Raw genomic sequence first — 22,760 nt, 5'->3', positions numbered from 1 at the left:
GGGTGGGGGAAAGCAGAAGTGTAGGTCAAAGGGTACAAAGAGAGAGAGGAAGCAAGAAGAAGGTAATTCAAGATGAAGAAGCAGGTATAAGCCAAGTGTTGAGAGTTAGAAAATGCCAGCCTGTGAAAGCCAGGCTGTTAGTTGTGCGAAGGGCCTCCACTATTTACTACATGTATGACCTTGGATGAGTTAGTTAACCTGTCTCTGCTTCATTTCCTTCATACATAAAATGGTGCAACCTCAGTGAAGTGTTAAGAATAACGTGAAACAATACATATGCCTGAAACATGGTACACGTGCCAATAATGTTAGGTAGTAGCAATGCCAACAACAGCAGAAGCAGCAATAACCGCAGCAAAAGTCACGTTAATAGAAGTAATTATAGCATTTATTAACATTATTATTGCTATTATACTGAAATGTAGTTGTGGCTACACTCCATCTTAATTGTTAAGGTCCTGAAGAAGAGGGTCCAAGTTCTTTTTTTTTTTTTTTTTTTTTGAGATACAGTCTTGCTCTGTCGCCCAGGCTGGAGTGCAGTGGTGCAATCTCGGCTCACTGCAACCTCTCAGGCTCAAGCGATTCTCCTGCCTCAGCCTCCCGAGTGGCTGGGATTACAGGCACCTGCCACCACTCCCAGATAATTTTTATACTTTTTAGTAGAGAGGAGGTTTTGCCATGTTGGCCAGGCTGGTCTCAAACTCCTGACCTCAGGCGATCTGCCTGCCTCAGCCTCCCAAAGTGCTGGGATTACAGGTGTGAGCCACCACGCTGGGCCAGTCCAAGTTCTTTATTTTGACTGAAACAGTGTTTATAAATGTGCTTTCCTTATTGTTTCCTGTATCTATAGTTTATTTTCTCTGAATAGGATTTTTAAAATACAATAGAATTAAAATGTAAACCTCAAAAAAGGGGTGAGGAATGGAGGGAAGATATGTGAGTAGGCCAGGACAGAATGAGAGCGTCGTTGTGGGTTCCTGAGGCAACAGTTATCCAATGTCATTGTTATTTTTAATGAAATTCAAGGAATTTGCATTTATTCCAAATTGGAAAAGATGTGAACCAGGAACAACCTGCCTGACAGTTTATGTATCTTTGGCGATTTTCCTTTGAACCATGGGAAAAATCATGTTTATCTTGTAGTTTACATTGTAATTCTCATCCACTCCTCTGTGAAGACGTGGAACTGTGCCACCCAGAACCTCCTGCAAGAGAAGACTTGCTGCCCAACTGAGGGGAATGAAGTAAGCAGCCAGGCTTCAGCTGTCAGATCTTCCCAATCTGCCTCAATTGCAGGGAGCCCCTTCACCTGAGGTAATGCCCTTCCTGGGGTAGCCTGTATCCAGAGGCTGAGACAGAAAAGAAAGACCCAGCCATTGTAGCCTGACACAGGATGCTTTGTTGGTCTTCACTCTACAGAGCTCTCCACCAGGTTCAGGGAAGGTTTGTAAGGCCTGCATCACGGCTCAATGTCTTTCTCTGCCAAATCCTACTTTTGCCCCTTTTCTTCACAGGCGTTGATCCCTAATAAACATCTTGCCCTCCACACTGTTCTACCGTCTGCTCTTGGGGAAATCAACCTGCAACCTACTTCAAGGCATTGGTAGATATTGCTATGTCAAGATAGATTTGGACAATGGGGTGATGGATACTAAAGAGGTAGTGCAAAAAGAAAATGAGGGGCATACAACATTCTCCTCTTCCCAACACCTGTATGAAGAAAGCAGCATCCTTTTGAGGAGTGAGAGAATACAGATCTTTCAGAAGTGAGCAGCAGGCAGGAAAGTGGCCTACAGCCCTGTTGAGAGCAGCAGAGAGGAGCATGAGACATAGCTGCCAGATGGGAAATTCATTAGTAAGTGATCATTAGAAAACAGGAAACTGGTGGATGAAAATAAAAGAAGTAAAACTGATAAGCAAGTAAGAACAGATATTTCTTCTACGTGGCTTTCGAATTGGGGGTAGGAGGGGTGGAGTCAAGGAATGAAGCCTAGGCCTTGCAAATGCATCCCTTAGGAAAAGTGAAATGGAAGTAACGGTTACATCAAGCCAAAACAAGGAGCTTTGACTTGGTCCCACATGCTGCGATCTAGAATTGTTCCTGGCACAGCTAAAGCTTTATCATCCTATGTAATGGGGAGGCACCTATGGATGCAAGTAGAGATTACCCCCTTATATCAACCACATTAAATCCATAAAGTTTCCCCAAAGCCTTTCCTGCCTCAGCATCTAACTTCCTTCTTCTGAGTCTCTGGAGTCCCAGCGCGGCAGGAAAATGGAAATCATAATATAGCGTTCATAGATACAGAATGGCAGCGTCAGGAGCAACTACAGTTCTTAGTAAGAGCATCACAGACCCTCTCAGCCATGAATTAACTTGCTCTTTTTCTACCTCCCTTTGTAACTATAGCTACCCTTCTTAGGGCCTCCCATCTTTTTTCTGAGGCCCTAGTTTGGTTTCTGGCTGAAACTACATGGGAGTTGCAGGCACTTCTCTCACCACCAGATGGTGATAAAGAGCCTATCAGGATAATGAATTCTGAGATTTCCCAACTCCGGCATAGTTAACATTTAGAGCCAGATAATTTATTGTGGGAAACTCTCTGTGCGTTATAAGATGTCTAGTAGCACCTCTGGCCTCTATCCATTAAATGTGAGTAGCACTATTCACAGTTATGGCAACAAAAATGTCTCTAGACATTGTCAAATGTCCCTGAAACATTTGCATTGCCCCGGTGGAGAACCACTGTGAAATGAGGTGTTCAAGAGTTTTAAATAGGAGAAAGAAAATGAATGCAATTTTGATGAAATTTTTGAAAAGCTTTCTTATTTTTTACAATATTACATTTATTGAAAAAATTCAAAAATGTGGAAAAACATAAGAAAATCAGACACCCAAAATCCTGTCATCCAGATTAACTTTGGTGAACATTTTTATACTCATCCTTCTAGGCATATGGACACATAGTGGAAAACATACAATTTTGCATACATGGCAATGTATAATATATATACTCCAAAATTTCACTCATAAATGGCACTGCAGTTAACATACATCTTTGAACATAATTTTTTTTTTTGAGATGGAGTCTCACTCTGTCACACAGGCTGGAGTGCAGTGGCGCAATCTCGGCTCACTGCAACCTCTGCCTCCTGGGTTCAGGCGATTCTCCTGCCTCAGCCTCCCAAGTAGCTGGGATTACAGGTCCATGCCACTATGCCCAGCTAATTTTTGTATTTTTACTAGAGACGGGGTTTTGCCATGTTGGCCAGGCTGGTCTCGAACTCCTGACCTCAGGTGATCTGCCCACCTCAGCCTCCCAAAGTGCTGGGATTACAGGCATGAGCCACCATGCCCAGCCTGAACATACATCTTTGCACAGGTTGAGTGTGACAGTTTTTCACTCCACATTTCCTATATATCTACAATTTTGCCACGACAGGACCCAGAGCTTTACAAAGTAATTTGGACATAGATATTCTTCCAAAGATGTACAAAAACTGCTGGAAAGAATGTGAACATTCCCAGTGCAGTGGCTCATGCTGTCTCTACTAAAAATACAAAAATTAGCCAGGCATGGTGGCGGGTGCCTGTAATCCCAGCTACTCAGGAGGCTGAGGCAGGAGAATCACTTGAACCGGGAGGTGCAGGTTGCAGTGAGCTGAGATCGCACCACTGCACTCCAGCCTGGGCAACAGAGCAAGACTCCATCTCAAAAAAAAATTGTGAATAGAAGATAGAATAAATATAATTCGTGACATGGAAATGCAAGGTGGAAATTTTGGCAAAAATTGAGAGATAACTGATTAGATGTCAGGGATATCTTCACAGACATGGGCCTAGATATAAGCAGTATAAATGTTAGTCTCAGCCAGTTGTCGTGGCTCACACCTGCAATCCCAGCACTTTGGGAGGTCAAGGCAGGTGGCTCACTTGAGGTCAGGAGTTCAAGACAACCCTGGCCAACATGGTGAAACCCCATCTAGAAAAAAAAAGAAAAAAGTATCAGCTCCTTTTTCTTCAACTACAGTACTTCGAAAATTATTTGTTTAAATATTTCCGCTGGACACAGTGGCTCTCACCTGTAATTCCAGTGCTTTGGAAGGCTGAGACAGGAGGATCACTTGAGGCCAGGAATTTGAGACTAGCCTGGGCAACATAGCAAGACTCCATCTGTACAAAAAAAAGATTAAATAAAGAAAAAAATGCATATTCCCCCTACTCCCCTGTGTGCAGGCTAGGGCCAGCTTTCTCTTCTTATATATCCTGTATTTATTACAGGGCCTCCCACTTATCAAACCTTTAGTAAACATTCGCTGAATGGAGGTATTTATTGGAAACTCCTGCTTGAAGAGCATTCTCCAAAACAAAGAGAAGGGTGTATCATGTAGGAGACAGAGGGTTATGGATTCAAGTTCAAATTGCCTCCAACTTCCCAAACTCAAAACATGAACTCATGGATAAGAAAGAGAGGAGAGAGGAAGCGAAAAATGTAAATTGATATGCACTTCTGTGATCTCTTGCTCTTTCTGTGATTCTCTTTCCTTTTCTGGCAACCTTATCCAAGGAAAAATCTCAATGACCTTGCAGTAGGGCAATTGGGGATGATCCTAAGGCTTACACTACACCTCAGAGGATGTACAGAAACATTTTACTCTCTTTATTTAGTCTATAATCTGATGTCCTCCCAAATCCCTATCTACGAGTTAGCAGGAGGAAGAAAAAAAAACTAATAATGCAATCTAATTTTAATTTAGTCTAACCTGACACAATGTAAATATGCCTTCAGAAATTATTGTTTCTATTGGATAAAATAATGCTTGATCACTCAGAAAGCCTCTACTTCCCCTGCTTCTCTCCCCAGTGTATGATGGAGAGACTATGGTTATGCAATCCCCTGGCACAGAGAAGGAACTCTAGCCTCAGGCTGGTTTTTATGTTGTGGCAGCTCCATCTGCTGGTCTCTGGGGGACTGTCCTTTGGGCACTGAATTATTCAACATTCTGCAGGACACCACTGCTAAATTGGCTAATTCACATGGGGTCTGTACTTTCTACAGGGACAATGTTCCTGAGTTGCTAAGGCTGTTAAGAAAAATTTTGCTGTCTGCAGAACCCTGAGTTGATTGCCACATCCTCCAGCCTGCAAATTGGTCCAGCAGTCTACGCTACCTTATTGTTGAGTCAACTCATTCTGCTATTGTAGGCCTATGACAATCCACTGGGTTTCAATTCAGTATCCAAACTGCATAAAAACTCAAGGCACCTTTGTAAAATTAAGCCTTCTTCTTTCTGACCATGCTGTGCTACATTTCTGTGAATGAATCCTAAAGTTGATGCATGGCATAATCCATTTGGATGTCAAAAGACTAATATTACCTCAGTCTTATATTTTTGGAAAAAATTCTAACTTCCTCCAGACAAATGAATGCCTCCGACAGACTAAGGAGAAGCCCTAATAATGGCATTTTTATCTACATCCTCATCTTCAATTTTGTTGTCTGATGAGTTCAAAGCTTGTGCTCTCTTCACTTCACCTCCAGGACCTTGGTCTGGAAAGGTCCTTGAGGTCTGGAAGATTAGCAGGAGAGAGACAAAAAAAAAAAATTGCCTGGTCACACTACACAATACCAGTCTTGAATTCTCACAGACAAAAACACCTTTATTTATTTCTAAAATTCCTTCGTCGTAATTAAGAATCAGACATGTTGGAAGCTCGGCCATTCATTCAATACACACTCACAGAGTACCTATTATGTGTGATGTATTCTGACGGGCACAATGTGTAACCCACTGTGTTAGTTTCCTGTTCCTACTATAACAAATTATCACAACCTTGGTGGCTAAAAACAATGAAACAACAGATTTATCTTACAGTTCTGGAGGTCAAAGTCTAAAATTAGGACTTATGGAATTAAAAACAAGGTATTGGCAGAGCTTCGTACCTTCTAAAGACACTCGGGAAAAATTCTTTTTCTTCTTTCTTTCTTTTTTTTTTTTTTTTGCCTTTTCTGCTTCTACATTCCTAGACACATGACCCCCTTCCATCTTCAAAGCCAGCAACAAGAAGTCAAGTTTTTCAGTGCCTCATTCCAATGCTTGACCCTACTGACTCTTTCTTATAAGGACCCTTGTGATTACATTGGGCCCACTGGATAATCCAGGATAATCTCCTCGTCTCAAGATTGTGAATTTAATCACATCTGCAAAGTCCTTTTTGCCATATGGAGTAACAGTCACAGGTTCTGGGGAGTAGGAGGTGGATATCTTCAGGGGACCTTTATTTATCAGTATTAAACTCAAAGAAAGGATAACTCTCCATGAGTCGGACAGCTATAAAAGATGTGGCTAATCTTTTTTAACTTCTTTTTTATTGAAATATAACAGTTATACTAAAAAGGGTACACAGATTTTATGTGTACAGCTCAACGATCTGTGACAAAGCAAATACACTCCAGTAACCAGCATCCAGATCAAGTTACGGAGCATTGCCCACACCCTAGAACTCACCCCTCATGCCCTCCTCTAATCACTGTACCTTCTCTCCACTCTCCAAAGCAGTGTAACACAGAGATTAGCTCTGTTTTCAAACAAGCAGTTGGAATGATACAATGTGTACATTTTGTGCCTGACTTCCTTTACTCAACATTACGTTTTTAAGATTTATCCATGTTACTATGTGGAGCTGTATTAGTTTATTTTCATTGTTGTATAATGCATTATATGACCAAATGACAATTATTTATCCTTTCTGCCAACAAACATGTGTGCTGTTCCCACCTTGGGAATGTTTTAAATAGTTTTGCTATAAGCATTGTTGCATACCTTCTGGTGCACATATATACACATTTCCATTAGGCATGTGTGTATATACTAGGAGTAGGATTTCTGGGTTGTAGCATATACATTTTCAACTTCTGTAAAGAGTACCAACCAGCTTTCAAAGTGTATGTTGCAATTTATGCCTTTATCAGAAATGTATGAGAATTCCAGTTGCTTCTCATACTCACCAAGACTTAATTTTATCAGAAAGTCTTTTTAACTTTAGCCATTCTGGAGTATATAGTACTATTTCAATATGGTTTTAATATGTATTTCCTTAATTAATAATGAAGTTTTACATTTTTGTCCTTTATTGGCTATTTGAATATTCACTTTCATAAAATGCCTACTCAAGTTTTTCACCCATTTTTATCTTGTGTTGATTTTCTAGGAGTCCTTTACATATTCTGTCCACAACCCCTTTGTCAGTTATAAGAGTAGCATACATGACTTGGGCCACAAAATATGCGTATAAATTTGAAATGTAAATTTCAACTGATTTCTTACAGGTTTAGTTACCATTTCAGTTTTATAGTATAGAACTAAGCGAAACAAAGTATTTTACAAATCTGTGATAAATAATTCTTAAATAGAAAGAGTACTTTTTTATTAAAATACATCTTCTAAAGACAAGAACAGGGCAAGTTTTTTTTTAATTAGTTCCCTTATCCTTAAATGAATAAAATACCCAATGTTAAAATGTGACTGGGTTTAGTAGAGATTAAGAGCAAAAAGTAAAGGTACTGGGCTGCTTAGAAGTGCAGGGGCTTAAAACGTGTATTAATTATTGTTACAGAAGGATTTTTACAATAGAATTAACCAAATATTCAAATAAAGCTAATCTAAATTTCTTAAATCGATGATAGGAATGAATAAATTACAAGAAAATTGGTTGAAGAGTAACAAGTAAGTCATGAGCGAGGGTAAAAATAAATACATATTTATAGGACCCCAACCTCTATCAAAAGCTAATGGAAGAACTTTCTGGTATGTGAATTTAGCTCAATAAAGCTTTTTTTTTAAAAAAAAAAAAAGCTAATAAAAATGTTTCTCCCATGAGTTTGAATAAATGTACATGGTTAACTTACTTCCAATATATATTGTTTTTTCTCTTACATGTAACATTAAAGTGGTAGAAGCAGACCAGGTGCAGTGGCTCACACCTGTAATCCCAGCACTTTGGGAGGCTGAGGCAAGCAGATCACCTGAGGTCAGTCAGGAGTTCGAGACCAGCCTGACCAACATGGCAAAACCCCGTCTCTACTAAAAATCCAAAAACTAGCCAGGTGTGGTGACGGGTGCCTGTGATCCCAGCTACTTGGGAGACTGAGGCAAGAGAATTGCTTGAACCCGGGAGGCGGAGGTTGCAGTGAGCGGAGATGGCACCATTGCACTCCAGCCTGGGCAACAGAGCCAGATTCTGTCTCTAAGTAAATAAATAAATAAAAATAAAGTGGTAGAAGCAAACATAAAATTTCTTCTTCTAATTACTGAAATTTTATGAAATATGCACCTGGACCTAAGTGAACAAAAATACTCATTAAGCTTTTTCTCATTTGTGAAATTTATGCAAATGCAAAGGATACATGTTATAGAATGTATGTTACATTTCCCAGCATGATTTTTATAAATCTTGAATATTCTAATTATGGGTAAGTGATGTTGCCAAAAATTTGTCATATGAATTAAATTAGTATCACCTTCACTACTTCTTAACAGTAATCTCTATGATTTTCTTAACAGAACTTTCCTTTAGGAATGATGTTTTTGTTTGTTGGTTTGGTTTAGCAATTGTCAGCAGTCAAAAGAGATGAAATCATTCAACAAAAATTATTATTCTTGCTGTCCTTACTACAACATATCTGGTTTTAGTATAGTCTATCATGAGCCAAAAATACCATTTCTTTTTTTTTCTTTTTTACATAAGAAGATTTAGAAGAGACAAAAATACCATTTCTAATGCCACATTTTTTTTCTTAACAGAAACGTATAAGCAAGGAAAAGGAGGCTTCATATACACCAATATTTTGATTTGTTCCTCTGTTTTACCCCTTGGATTTTTTATTCAGGACAATGTGCCATAAGATTGAAAATGGGCAAGAAGAATAGCTTTCTTTTTTAAAATGAGTGAAGGGTCAATGTGTAAGCGGAGGTGGGAAAGAAGAATAACAATGCTATTTCTACAATAGACATATTCTTGGGCAGATCAATTTTGGAAAAGAAACATATGGATGTTGAGGACCTGAAAGAAATTACTGTAAAACTATCTATACATGTGTATCTCCTAGAAAGTCCCATCAACCCCCACAGTGTGCATACCTAAGTTTGAAGAGAGCGTTCCTAGAATATAAGCCCTATGAATGTAGGGGCTTGGTATGGTTTTGAGACGGAGGCTGGAGTGCAGTGGTGCGATCTCAGCTCACTGCAACCTCTGCCCCCTGGGTTCAAGTGATTCTCCTGCCTCAGCCTCCTGACTAGCTGGGATTACAGATGTGCACCATCATGCCCAGCTTTCTGTATTTTTAGTAGAGACGGGGTTTCAGCATGTTGGCCAGGCTGGTCTTGAACTCCTGACCTCATGATCCACCCGCCTCAGCCTCCCAAAGTGTTGGGATTACAGGTGTGAGCCACCGTGCCCGGCCAGGTTTTTTTAAAAATTGTTTGTGGGGAATATTTTCTGTTTGTGTCCCAGATACACTCTCCATCCTTCTGTGTCCTGTTGTGTGACCTGAAACTGGGCTCCATTGCCCTCTGGTTTCTGAGTGGGTGAGGCCACAGGGAAGTACCAGCAAAAGATCAAAAGGAAAAAGGAGAGTGAGTTCTGGCTACTGATTCCCCTAGGTCCCTTCCCACACATCCTTCCCTCCCGCTGCATCGCTCCCACCATACAGTGACCCTCCCCCAGGGAATTGTTCCCCACCCTTGCCCCTTCAAGCCTCAAGGTGGTAATGGTTCTGATATTGCTAGCCTGAGGTCCTGCACCATTGTTTTTGTTGGCTTTCCTAAATCCAATCCATATCTTACATAATTTAAGTGTGTCATCTGTTGCCTATCAGGACCCTAAAAATATTCTGTAAGCATTTGTTGAATGAATGAATGAACCCCCACTTCTACCAAGTCACCATCTTCTTATCTGCACTACCACAAAAACTTCCTAACTGGCTTCCCTGACTCTGCTGTTGCTCCCCCTCTCCATTTTCCACAACCTAAGACAAAGAGACCCACAATTGTGTGCTGCTTAGTGACAGGAATGTGTTCTGAGAAATGCGTCATTAGGTGATTTCGTAGTTGTTTGAACCTCATAGAGTGTACTTACACAAACCTAGATGGTATAGCCTACTACACATGTTGGCTATATGGTATAGCCTATTGCTCCTAGGCTACAAACCTGTACAGCATGTTAATGTAGTAAATACTGTAGGCAAAAGTAACACAATGGTAAATATTTGTGTATCTAAACAAATCTCAACTTTTTTTTTTTTTTTTTTTTTGGAGACCACTACCTCCTGGGATCAGGTGACCCTCCTACTTCAACCTCCTGAGTAGCTGGGAAGTAGTTGGGATTGCAGGCGTATGCCACCAAGCCCCGCTAATTTGTTTTTTCTCTTACAGAGATGGGGTTTCGCCATGTTGCCCAAACTGGTATCAAACTCCTGGGGTCAAGCGATCTGCCCACGTTGGCCTCCCAAAGTGCTGGGATTACAAGCATGAGCCACCATGCCTGGCCAGCCCACAGTGTTATCATTTTATGTGACCATCAAGTCATATGTCATTATTGACTGAAAGGTGTATCGTGAGGCCTGTGACTATATTTTAAATGGAAATCTGATCACGTCATTTCTCTACCTAAAATGCTACAGTGGCTTCCCACTACCTTTTAAGACAGAGTTCAAAATCATTAAAATGATTTATAGTATATATTCATACACAATGGGATCCATGTCTCACTCCAGCCTCAATGCTCACCCCTTTCCATTCACTCCTCCAGCCACAGTGAACTTTTCTTCAGTCCAGAAAGGATTTTTCCTCTAGGCCCTCAAACATGCCATTTCTTTCATTCAGAACACTCTTCCCCTACTTTTTCATCTAGCCTACTCCTATTTATCCTTAGGTCCCAGCTTAGACATCATTTCCTCAGAGAAGCCTTCCATAACCTACTAAACTGTACACACTTTAAATGTCCTCCATTATTCCAGAAAAACTCATATTGTTCCTTTCTAAGCATGTAAACTCACTTCTACATATCTGTTTAATGTTTAACTCCTCACTACATTATACATCTTATAAGAACAGTTATCTAGTGAATTCCAAATGGCTAATTCAACAATTGGTGCATAGTAAGTTTCAACACATATTGAATGAATGAAAGAAACCTAGGCCGGGCACAGTGGCTCATGCCTGTAATCCCAGCACTTTGGGAGGCTGAGGCGGGCAGATCATTTGAGGTTAGGAGTTCAAGACCAGCCTGACCAACATGGTGAAACCCCGTCTCCACTAAAAATACAAAAAATTTAGCCGGGCATGGTGGCAGGTGCCTGTAGTCCCAGCTACTCAGGAGGCTGAGACAGGAGAATCACTTGAACCTAGGAGGCGGAGGTTGCAGTAAGCTGAGATCACACCACTGAACTCCAGCCTGAGCAACAGAGCAATACTCCATCTCAAAAAAAAAAAAAGAAAAAAGAAAGAAACTTGGGGTGGGGTTGAAGGTAGTGACTTGATGTTTACTGAGCTATACTGGGATTCAAATGTAGTTCTTCTCTTTCAAAGAATAAGACCTCTCAACTTTTTTCACAAGGGCTTTCCTCCGTTTCCTCACCTGCACAATAACTCAGGTGTTCTTAATCTGGAGGTCTGACACCCAAGGAGTCAATGAATAAAATTCAGGAGGTGCATAAACTTGAATGGGAAAAAAATATGTCTTTATTTTTATTGACCTGTTACTGCAATGTAGCATTTTCTTCCATTTGTATGTAGGTGGCAAACCACAATAGTATTAGTCTCAATTATTCTAATTCTAAACAGCACATATTATGATGTCACCAATTAGAGATTTTAAAAAAATATTTTGAAAACAACATAATTGGCTTCCTTTGTATTCCTTTGTATTTTCTTTCATGCATTTAAAAGTATTATTCTCGGAAGATTAAGATTGCTCAGTCTTGGTCAAAAGGCACAACAAAAGCTAAGAGCCCTTTGACTGGATGATCAGTAAGTCTCCTTCCAAATGAATCCAGTTTGTAGCTATTTTTTCCTCTGATGTGCCTATTGCCCAACTTTTATCTGATTCAAATCTTTCCAAAATAGATAAGTAGGGAATAAAGAAAAGAACCAATTTCTGGTGGTGCAGAAATATACGAGTGAGGATGAGAGAAAGGACCCAAAGCAAAAACAAATCAGATGCTTTGCCAATAGCACAGTCAGTAACATGTTTGAGTTCAGGCTCATAGGAAAAGGTAAGCTGGAGAGATCCTTTTAATAATTTAAATCCAGTAGTAAAAGGTCACAGATAATGGGAAATACCACACAGAGGCACAGTCAGAGAGATATTTGGTGTTGAGGTCTAATGAAAGGTAGCTGACAAGAAATGGGCCTAGCCACACAATAAATTCTCAATAACAGGCCAGGTGTAGTGGCTCATACCTGTAATTTCAGCACTTTGAGAGGCTGAGGTGGGAGGATTGCTTGAGCCCAGGAGTTTGAGACCAGCTTGGGCAACACAGTGAGACCCCATCTCTACAAAAAATACAAAAATTAGCTGGGTATGGTGGCACATACCTGTAGTCCCAGCTACTCAGGAGGCTGAGATGGAAGGATCCCTTGAGCCCAGGAGGCAGAGGTTGCAGTGAGCAGAGAGCTCACCACTGCACCCCAGCCTGGGCAACAGAGTAAGACCCTGTCTCAAAAGAATAAAATATAAATTAAAAATTCTCAATAACTAGCAAATAAAAGAGAAAGGAGAGGATAAATAATTGTGCTAAGTAAAGGTGAAGTCATCAAGAAACACAAAGAAATCAAAGCTTTCTATTTTTTAAGATTTTTTAAGGTTTTTTTTCTTTTTTATGAACTTGTAAACTTTTCAAACTTAGAAAAGCACAGTGCTAGCTTGGGTATAAAAGGGAGGGGAGAGGAAATGGGATACATGAGTCAGAGTCCTTCTTTGACCTTGAAAGACCTTATAATTTCTGCAGCAGGCAGTTCATCTCACTAATAATAGAAGGAAATAAAGCAGGGAGGGGAAAGAACACCACATGAAGAGAATAAGCCAAGTCGGAAACAGCTAGTCACCATTTCCAGAATGAAGTCACTGTAGAGGATTGTGCTGATTCTATCCAAATTCTGCCCCTCCATCACCCTGGACCACCTCAACTTTAGTTACATGTAAATCAGGAGTTAATTTTCCTAAATTCAGTTGCTTACAAGGCTTCTTGTTTCAGCTTGGGGTGTGTTTTGATTTGTTGTTATCCTCAATATCCTGGTGACTCTGAAAAACTCATTTCAACTGATCACCCAATATGATCATCATTCCATAAGATACTAGAGATAGGCTGTATCTTTGTCCAGTGCCTCCCAAAATGTTGGATTACCCTGCTCTGAGGGTAAGAATTAATATATATCAAGAAAGAGCCAGTTCCTAGGCTATTTCTAGACATTCAGGATTCTAGAGATAGAAGTCGGCTTGGGGTTTAATCAATAATTGCTTCCTACCATCATCACTAAACCCCTGATCGAACACTTTGCTGTGTTCCCCTAAACTGGCTCCCCAAACACTGCTTCACAGAGGCTCCTGCAGAATAGGATGCAGGCATTTAGGGGTTCTCTGCAGTGGTATCAGCAGATCCAACCCCCTTCTTCCAGCAGAGTTTGCGGACAAAAATTCTCTTAGAGGCTGGGATCTTTTTTCTTCAGCTGCCTCCCAAAACATTGATTGGGACCACTTTCCTCAATCCTGCCAGACTGACTGTGGTCACTACCAACACCTCCTCAGGGGCTCCACCTGGACTCTTACCAGAGTCACTCCAAGTCCTGTCTCAGGCAGAATACTCAGATCTATTCCAAGCACCTTCCCTGGGATCTCAGGCGCATACTGAGAACCAGTGGGTAACAGGGTTGAGAGGTAAGAGCAGCCTGGCCCGGGTGCAGAAATAAGGGGTGAATTGTCTGTAAAAAAAAAAGTTTAAATAGTAATAAAACAAACTAAAAGTCAATCTGATTTTTATTATCACCTTGTACAACAATTCTAGGCAATGTTAGTGATACAATGACCCTTAACAAAAAAAAAAAAGTTAATCTAAGTTCTAAGCAATTGCTACAGTTACTGTTGCATTATAATAATATGTGTGTAAGCTTCAAATTATCTCTTTTTAAATTTATTCACTAAAAATTATTTTATTCTACATGGAAGTTAATTTGGAGAACTACCAGTTACACAAACTCTGCCACATATATTACTCTTTTTCTTTCCCTTTTTTTTTTTTTTTTTTTTTTTTTTGGCAGGAGACCAGAGTTTTATTATTACTCAAATCAGTCTCCCTGAGCATTCGGGGATCAGGGTTTTAAGGACAACTTGGTGGGTGGGGGAAAAGTTAGTGAGCTGGGAGTGCTGATTGGTCAGGTCAGAGATGAAATCACAGGGAGTAGAAGCTGTCTTCTTGCACTGAGTCAGTTCCTGGGTGGGGACCACAAGATCAGATGAGCCAGTTTATTCATCTGGTGGTGCCAGCTGATCCATCAAGTGCAGAGACTGTAAAATATCTCAAGCACTGATATTAGGAGCAGTTTAGATAGAGTCAGAATCTTGTAGCCTCAGCTGTATGATTCCTGAACCATAATTTCTAATCTTGTGGCTAATTTGTTAGTCCCACAAAGGCAGTCTAGTCCCCAGGCATGAAGGGGGTTTGCCTTGGAAAAGGCCTGTTATCACCTTTGTTTTAAGCTATGAACTATAAATTAAGTTCTTCCCAAAGTTAGTTCAGCCTATGCCCAGGAATGAACAAGAACAGCTTGGAGGTTAGAAGCAAGATGGAATTGGTTAGGTCAGATCTCTTTTCACTGTCTCAGTTACAATTTTGCAATGGTGGTTTCAATCTCTCCCTTTGGATTTTATAACACCTTAATCTTAAGGTGTTAGCTAATGAAGATGGGAAAAGGGCGAAGACCCCTCTAAATTCTTCCTGCTGACCAGGGGTGTAGTGGGGGTAGGTGTTGACCCCAAGGTGAGAGGAGTGAAATCACTTTGCAACTGTCTGAGCATACTCACACAGGCCTGGCTGGGATTCTAAGGCTTCTATGACAAAGGCATTAGTATTGCCATCTATAATTTTAGTACCACATTTAAGGGAACAGCACATTATAAGGTAAATAATGAGTACTAAGATAAGGAGTGTGATTTCCAGTTTTAAAAGCAAAGATTTGAAAGCTCTAGTTTGGGGACTTGCAGCCCACAAAGAATTTAAGATTTAGTCCAAACTGCAGAAAAAAACTGAAGAACAACTAACAACAGATGTACTATAGTTTTTTGAAGCATAATTTTTCTCTCTCCAGTCCCTTTTTTTTTTTTTTTTTTTTTTTTTTGAGACAAGAGTCTCGCTCTGTCGCCCAGGCTGACTGCAGTGGCGCGATCTCGGCTCACTGCAAGCTCCGCCTCCCGGGTTCACGCCATTCTCCTGCCTCAGCCTCCCGTCCAGTCCCTATTTTTATCAAAAACACATCATGATAGAACTGATCTGTTCACAAAATAAACTTTAGTCTTATCATATTTGGCCTGATTATTTGCATAAAGTGTAGCAAGAATAATTATTTTTCACATAGGCTCTTTTTAATATTGGCTTTGCTGAAACTGTTCTATAAAGAATCTCAGGTTGTACTTTTTAAAAGCCTTGAAGCCCAGCCATGGATTTATCTATGCCTCCAAACACCTGTGAATTCCTCATCTCAAGGTCTCAAGATAACTTGGGGCTCCTGGGCCTGTCAGAAAGCGACATTCTTTACTTACCACTGGTCAGGAACTCTGTACAAGGACTCTGTAGACAATGCATGAGGCCAGCTTTCCCAAGGGGCTTTATTGGCTTTATAAGTCCACTTTGATTCCCTAAAGAAAGCATGTCATTTTAGTCAAAGCCTTGGTAAAATAACCAGTTTCTCCAATTGTGTCTTGTTTCAGAAGAGAACAGATTCTCATTGCACTTATTCAAATAACTATACTGCCATAAGTTGAGAATACTCACAAGTAGTTTCTAAATTCCATAGAAATCAGGTAAAGAGAAAGCAATATGCTTCAAATTTTGCTCCCAGGAGTATACTTTACACACTTGCTAAAAGTTGTAAATAGCTCAAAAGAAATAAGTTTCCTTAATTCTGAAAACAAAAGGATTAGCAATGTTTAACACATCAGCTCTCCATGAGAGTCCCAGAAGTTTCAGTTTTTCCTCTATTCCAATTGCACAATTTTTAAAGTTATCAGAGGCCTGCACTCAGAGTCCTATATCTGACTATAAACTGCCTTTTGAAAAGGACCAAAGCCAGACAAAATGTCTGTGGATGACAAAAGTCTTACAACAGCCACTATTAAAGCTCAATTGACTAGAAATTTTGGTCACTTCTGTGGCATACAACAATTTTACATAATGTACCCTAAATCACATCAGAATTATAGAAGTTTCCAATAATTTTGAAAATAATACTAATAACATATTTATATAAGTACAGCCCAAAGATAGCCAAATACCATTTCATATTTGACAATGCTTCCTGTATGATTTTTATACCAAATAAGCCAAACACATCATTTTTGGACTTCAGAGGACCTAATATCTAAAAGGATTGATTAGGTCAGAAAATGATATATTTTTTAATTTAATTTTGGAAAGTTTGTCAAATATCAAAGGTTTCGAACACTATATCACAAAATAGAATCACAGGTTGCTCATTTATCTGAAGTGGTAACTCAAAAAAAAATTTTTTAAGACGAAAACCTTTACTCTGATAGAACAGACTTAGCTTTCCAAACAAGACCCAATGAAGATAGCATGAGGCCAACTGAATCTGTCTCTTCTCTCTCCCTGCCATTTACCCAAAGGGGAAAACAAAAACCTTTCATTATCTTTTAATATTACATAAAAATCTTTCTCAAAAGAGAAATCCAGGAAAGAGAAAACTGTCTCAAAAAATAGAAAAATTAAAAAATTAAAATAAAAACCTTGATTTATTGAAAAAAGAAAAAAGAGAGAAAACCAAATTTCATGTTTGCATTATTGCATCTTTAATGTTATAGCTAGTTTCTAAATAAAAGTTTATCAATCTATTCAGTTTTAATTAGTTTGACCATAAGGTAAGATTTTTATAAATTTTTTAGAACCCTTTAAACAGCATCTCAGTTTTCTAAGAAAACTCTGTTATTCGGACACATGGGCCCAGATTCTGGCCCCGCATTAATGTGCTTTTATTTTAATATTCAACATGTGGAAAAAAATTAAATAATCCCCTTCAAATCTTAGCCAACTTACTCATACCCACAGAACTTTCTTCATAAGGCCAACTCTTCACAAACCCTTTTCAACTTGCTTAAACCTTCAGTTTTGTCCCAATACTCTTTTAGGTTAAGACAATCTTTAAATTCCTCTAAACTAGACAAAATTATATTCTCTTTAACAAAAGCCACATTTCCATGCCGACTTACAATCTTTTACCAAAAACACATCCTACTATCCCTACACACTTTGGATGTAAAACCATTTCTCCAGTAGTCTCAATCACATGTTACAATGTTAACCCTTAGCAACTTTCATTTTTGGTGAAAAGCCCGACAAGTAAGAGATTTTAATTACGTACTAACCTTACCCCCAACCCTGTGCTCTCTGAAACACGTGCTGCGTCCACTCAGGGTTAAATGGATTAAGGGCGGTGCAAGTTGTGCTTTGTTAAACAGATGCTTGAAGGCAGCATGCTCGTTAAGAGTCATCACCACTCCCTAATCTCAAGTACCCAGGGACACAAACACTGCGGAAGGCCGCAGGGTCCTCTGCCTAGGAAAACCAGAGACCTTTGTTCACTTGTTTATCTGCTGACCTTCCCTCCACTATTGTCCTATGACCCTGCCAAATCCCCCTCTGCGAGAAACACCCAAGAATGATCAATAAAAAAAATAAATAAATAAATAAATAAATAAATAATTATGTACTAGTTGTGGGGCCTAGGACATCAGACGGAAGTGAAGATAAGATCTGACTCTTTCTAGCATAGCTAGGGGGCATGGCCAACTCCACATGTCCCCAGGCCTTATCTAGAGTCCAATGCTCCAAAGTAGGTAAACTGAACAATTTTCCAAAGTCAAAGAAGCAGTTTACAACCTTAAAGCATTTAGCAGATCTGATATCTGACCTTTAAACCAAATGTCTACATTTTGAAGACATTTTTATTTTACCAATAATCTTTAAAACTGTCTTTATTTCCAAAAGATTACTAAAGTCATGTGAACAAAAAGGCATTAAAGTTTCTATTTTTCTAACCAAATATTTTATTTAAGTGCTTATTTTTCTAAGCCAACTAATCAGAGCCCTTTTTATATAAACATTACACACACAATGCATATAAGTAGACAGACAGAGAGAAGGTTCAGCACTTGTAAGGTTTTTCATTTGCCAGTTTCTTTTTTTTTTTTTCCGAGATGGAGTCTCGCTCTGTCGCCCAGGCTGGAATGCAGTGGCGCAATCTCAGCTCACGGCCAGCTCTGCCTCCTAGGTTCATGCCATTCTCCTGCCTCAGCCTCCCAAGTAGCTGGGACTACATGCACCCACCACCACTCCTGGCTAATTTTTTGTATTTTTAGTAGAGATGGGGTTTCACTGTGTTAGACAGGATGGTCTCGATCTCCTGACCTTGTGATCCGCCCATTTCAGCCTCCCAAAGTGCTGGGATTACAGGCGTGAGCCACTGTGCCCAGCCCCTCATTTGCCAGTTTCTTAATTGGAGTACTGGCTTCAGGGTGGAGCCCTTGGAGGTACAGGGCCAGGAAAGTATGCAGTTTCTAGGGCCTAACAAGCAGGCACAGCTGGAAGGCAAAGACAGGTCCTCAAGATTAAAGGTGCCATTTTATACTGGATCCTAGATCCCCAAAAGAGAGGGAAATACGACAGGAGAAGATAGTGCAGTGCTTTTACCATGCATTTCATTGTAAGACAGCCCAAAGCCAATCAGCCCATTTTATACTCAGCCCATCCCCCATGGGAGTCTCATCTCTCAGTGAGGGTTGGAGATGTTTCCATATCTTCCAGGTGGCCAAGAACATACTTCTCTAATCAAAACTTCAAAGAGCCAAGTATCCCCCCATAACTGCCATTAGCCATCCCCAAAAGTAATTTCCTACCTAGTTATTACACACCAAATTTCTCTCATAATGCGAAGTAATTTCTGATACCCACAAAAGTCAAAACTGTCACCTAATGCAATGCAAAACAGAATAGAGCCTTAGATTTTGAAAGGGATCTATTCTCTTTCAATTCCTGGGCTTCTGTGAGGAAAACAGAGCTTTATCCCAGAATAGGGTCTGTGGTGCCTCCTCTGCTTTTCCCCAGGAGTCCCAGGCTGTTAGAATTTATCTTAAATTCTCTCATGTGGGCATCAAGAGTGGCAAGAAGACAAAATGGAAAAGAACAATTCTGTCTACCAAGGAAAAAAAACTTTTTTCAGGAAAACACAATTCAAGAAGAGGAAAAAGATAAAGTCCTCTTAAATACATATAGCTTGGATATTTCTTTTTAATTAAGCTGATTTTAACCATAGAGATCTTTTTTAAAAAAATAAATAAATCCTTTAAAATTTCTTATTACCAGACTCTAGCCAGGACAGCCGATATTTCTGGCTTTTGATTTCTACCACAGGTAACTTTCTACATGAAATTAATAAGTTTTAGCTAAGGTTATAACTTAACCATGGACATATAAGGTGTCTCAAAGAGATGATAAGCAGTTTCTCTTTTTTTTTTTTTTTTTTTTTTTTTTGGCAAGATTTACAATCTCCCCAAGGGTAGTTTACCAAGGGTAGTTTAGAGAAAGGAAAATCCAAGACAGGAAATCAGAAGCTATCCATGGGGGAAAAACCCTCAATAAATAGCAAAATTACATAAATAACAAACCAGAAAGGAAACTTTCCAGAAGCCAAGAATTGAACCCAGGCCACCACTGTCAAAAAAAAAAGCTTCAGCTACTGAGCTACACAGCATTGAGCAGTTTCTATTGCTCTTCCCAGAAGAAGTCTAGAGCAGCCAATTTCAAGCTTGCAAAGGCTCTTAACTCCTCAAGATAATTTTTAGGGCTAACTATGACATGAACCCCAAAATTCCTGTCCTCTGGATGGCAGAAACCAAGAGACAATATCCTCACATGGTCACAAGGTTAAGCTCTTAAGGACACTAAACAAGACAGAGAAATTTCATCCGGTATTGGTTTCAGGGACCCTCAACAAAGTTTGTTACTGACCAGTCTGCTAGGCTGGCTTGAAAAGCAGGCTTACTGGGGTCCTAAGCCCACGTTCTATCCTGTGATACCCCTCTCTCCATTACAGAAAGACAAATTCTTAGCACAAAGTCAACCAGATTTGCTACAGCCTGACTAGTCTCGCAAATCCTTTTTTCTATTAATCAAACCCTTGCAGAGAAGGCAAATAGTGATGTTTACCATTTATACACACACACACACACACGTGCACACACACACACACACGTGCACACACACACACACACAGATGGGGAGGTACAGAAACCCAGCTGGTAAGAATTTCTTACCCTTTTTGCCAGCATACCAGGTTTCCAGGTTCCCTTTCTCTGCAGCTTCTGGAAGAACAGAGCAGCTTTTGATGACCCTGCTAGTTGTGCCATAGCTGTGGAGGTCAAGCCACTTTACAAAAGAAAATCACCCTTTTCTCTCTTATGGAACCATAAGCAAAAGATTCTCAATTTTGCAAGATGCTGCCCAAGAGGCTGCATGGGGAAACAAACTAACATTTTCCATCCCTGTAAAAGCAAAATATACATAACAAAACAGACACTAGTCATCTCATTCACCACCCAGTATTGACCTGGCAAGGCTCAAACTTTCTCCCATTGGTCCCCATTGTCTTTGATCCACTCCAGGTGGGGAGGAATGACCTCCAACCAGTAATTTGATGGGTGGTCTCTGGGCAAGACGAAGAGCAGATAGTCGTCCTGAGCCAGGCCTGTTGAGCTTTCTTTGGGACTCACCGAATGTGACCAGACAAATAAGGAGGGTTCTCTGAGTTAGGCCTGCTGGACTTTCATCAGCAAGTCCTTCTGAGGTCCCCTCCACATATATAAACACATACAAAGACAAGACAGACAGAAGGGCTTCCAAATCAGATCCCTAACCAAGAACTCCAAGAGTATCCCTTCCAAACTATCCTCCTGTTCTCTGTCTGAGAAATCTCCCCAAAATCTTCCTGATTGAGAAGTCTCCCAAACCAAGACTCTTCCTACTAATTAGAGAGAGCCAACCGAGAATCTCAAATGAACCAAACTGAGAAAGATGCCCCTCAGTGGGGCTACAGACCGACACCCCACCATGGGGCAACAGAAAAACCAAGACCCCCTCCCCAAAGGAATCAAACCAATCGGGAAAAGGAAGGAGGCGTTGGCCGTGCCTAGGATATTCACCAATCCAGACACACTGTAATGAGGCTACAGCTACAGACACTCCATGACTGGGCTACAGACAGACACCTTGTGATAGGGCTACAGTTATAGGACATCTCCTCAAGACTATTTCTCTATTGCAATTAAATCCATGCACACTGGGTCACCAGTGCCCCTTCAGCAGAGACAATACCAGAGTCAGCCCCCAGTCCAAAATAACTAGGCAGCTGCTTGAGCTGGCATCTGAATCCATCACCAGAGGGGGACTACCAAACCATGGGCAGGTAGCCACATGGGCAATCCTGGACAAGCCCCCAGATTTGTAACCACCCAATGAGTTCACCTTGCCCACTGCCTAGACAGAGCCGATTTAACAAGACAGGGAAATTGCGATAGAGAAAGAGTAACTCACACAGAGCCAGCTGTGCAGGAGACCAGAGTTTTATTTATATTTATAGATATAAATTCATAAGAGTTTAATTAGCTCTCAGGCTCACTTCAGGTACATTTCATGACTCCAACTCCTGTTGTACAAAATATCCCTGCTTTTAAACAGTAGATTTAAAACAAACAACCTTGGTTTTCTGGGACTTTTCTTTTATGAGTATTTTTTTATTAATGTAAAGTTTCAAAGAAGGCTAATCAAACACAAAAATATCTGCAAAGAGCCACAATAAGCCTTGAACAACATACAGTCAGTAAAACATCAAGGTTTAAATTGTTGCTTTAACTTCCTTTTGGCTGGAAGCTCCATATTCTGGTAATTCACCAAAATGGCCAACACAAGGAAAACAGGAGAGGCACCCAGTGTATGTTTTCTAGGCCTTTTAGAAAACATGGAGTTGGCCACATGCATGGGAGTCTATAAAAAAGGTGATACTGTAGACATCAAGGGAATGGGTATGGTTCAAAAAGGAATGCCTCACAAGTGTTACCATGGCAAAAACTGGAAGAGTCTATAATGTTACTCAGCATGCTGTTAGCATTGCTGTAGGGAAAAAAAAAAAAAAAAGTTAAGGGCTAGATTCTTGCCAAAAGAATTAATGTGCATATGGAGCACATTAAACACTCTAAGGGAAAAGGTAGTCTCCTGAAATGCATGAAAGAAAATGATCAGAAAAAGAAGAGAGCCAAAGAGAAAGGTACCTGGATTCAGCTGACAGGCCAGCCTGCTGCACCAAGAGAAGCACACTTGGTGAGAACCAATGGAGAGGAGCCAGAGCTACTGGAACCTATTCCCTATGAATTCATGACATAATAGGTGCAAATAATACCACTAATAAAAGACCCTTGGACT

At 40.1% G+C, this 22,760-nt stretch overlaps 1 long non-coding RNA gene and 1 pseudogene across 1 annotated transcript, besides 1 other annotated feature; one reads left to right on the top strand and one right to left on the bottom strand.

Moving 5' to 3' along the window:
• Positions 1-4,134: 4,134 nt before the first annotated feature.
• Positions 4,135-17,692, bottom strand: LOC124902625 (uncharacterized). Its single transcript, XR_007062574.1, has 4 exons — positions 17,654-17,692; positions 15,815-15,910; positions 13,829-13,980; positions 4,135-4,174 (listed from the first exon to the last, which is right to left on the bottom strand). It is a non-coding gene; the product is annotated as an uncharacterized LOC124902625 (long non-coding RNA).
• Positions 17,484-18,033: an enhancer, noted in NCBI's record as "NANOG hESC enhancer chr11:6711804-6712353 (GRCh37/hg19 assembly coordinates)". NCBI's record gives its function as "activates a minimal SCP1, AML or CMV promoter by ChIP-STARR-seq in naive H9 embryonic stem cells {active_cell/tissue: H9 hESC(naive)}" and the evidence as "EXISTENCE:reporter gene assay evidence [ECO:0000049][PMID:30033119]".
• RPL21P94 (ribosomal protein L21 pseudogene 94) lies at positions 22,195-22,760 on the top strand (annotated as a pseudogene).

The sequence above is a fragment of the Homo sapiens genome, chromosome 11 (assembly GCF_000001405.40).
Source record: "Homo sapiens chromosome 11, GRCh38.p14 Primary Assembly".
NCBI lineage: Eukaryota > Metazoa > Chordata > Mammalia > Primates > Hominidae > Homo > Homo sapiens.
Note: the sequence above shows the minus strand (reverse complement) of the source record. Positions and strands in the feature narration are given on the sequence as shown.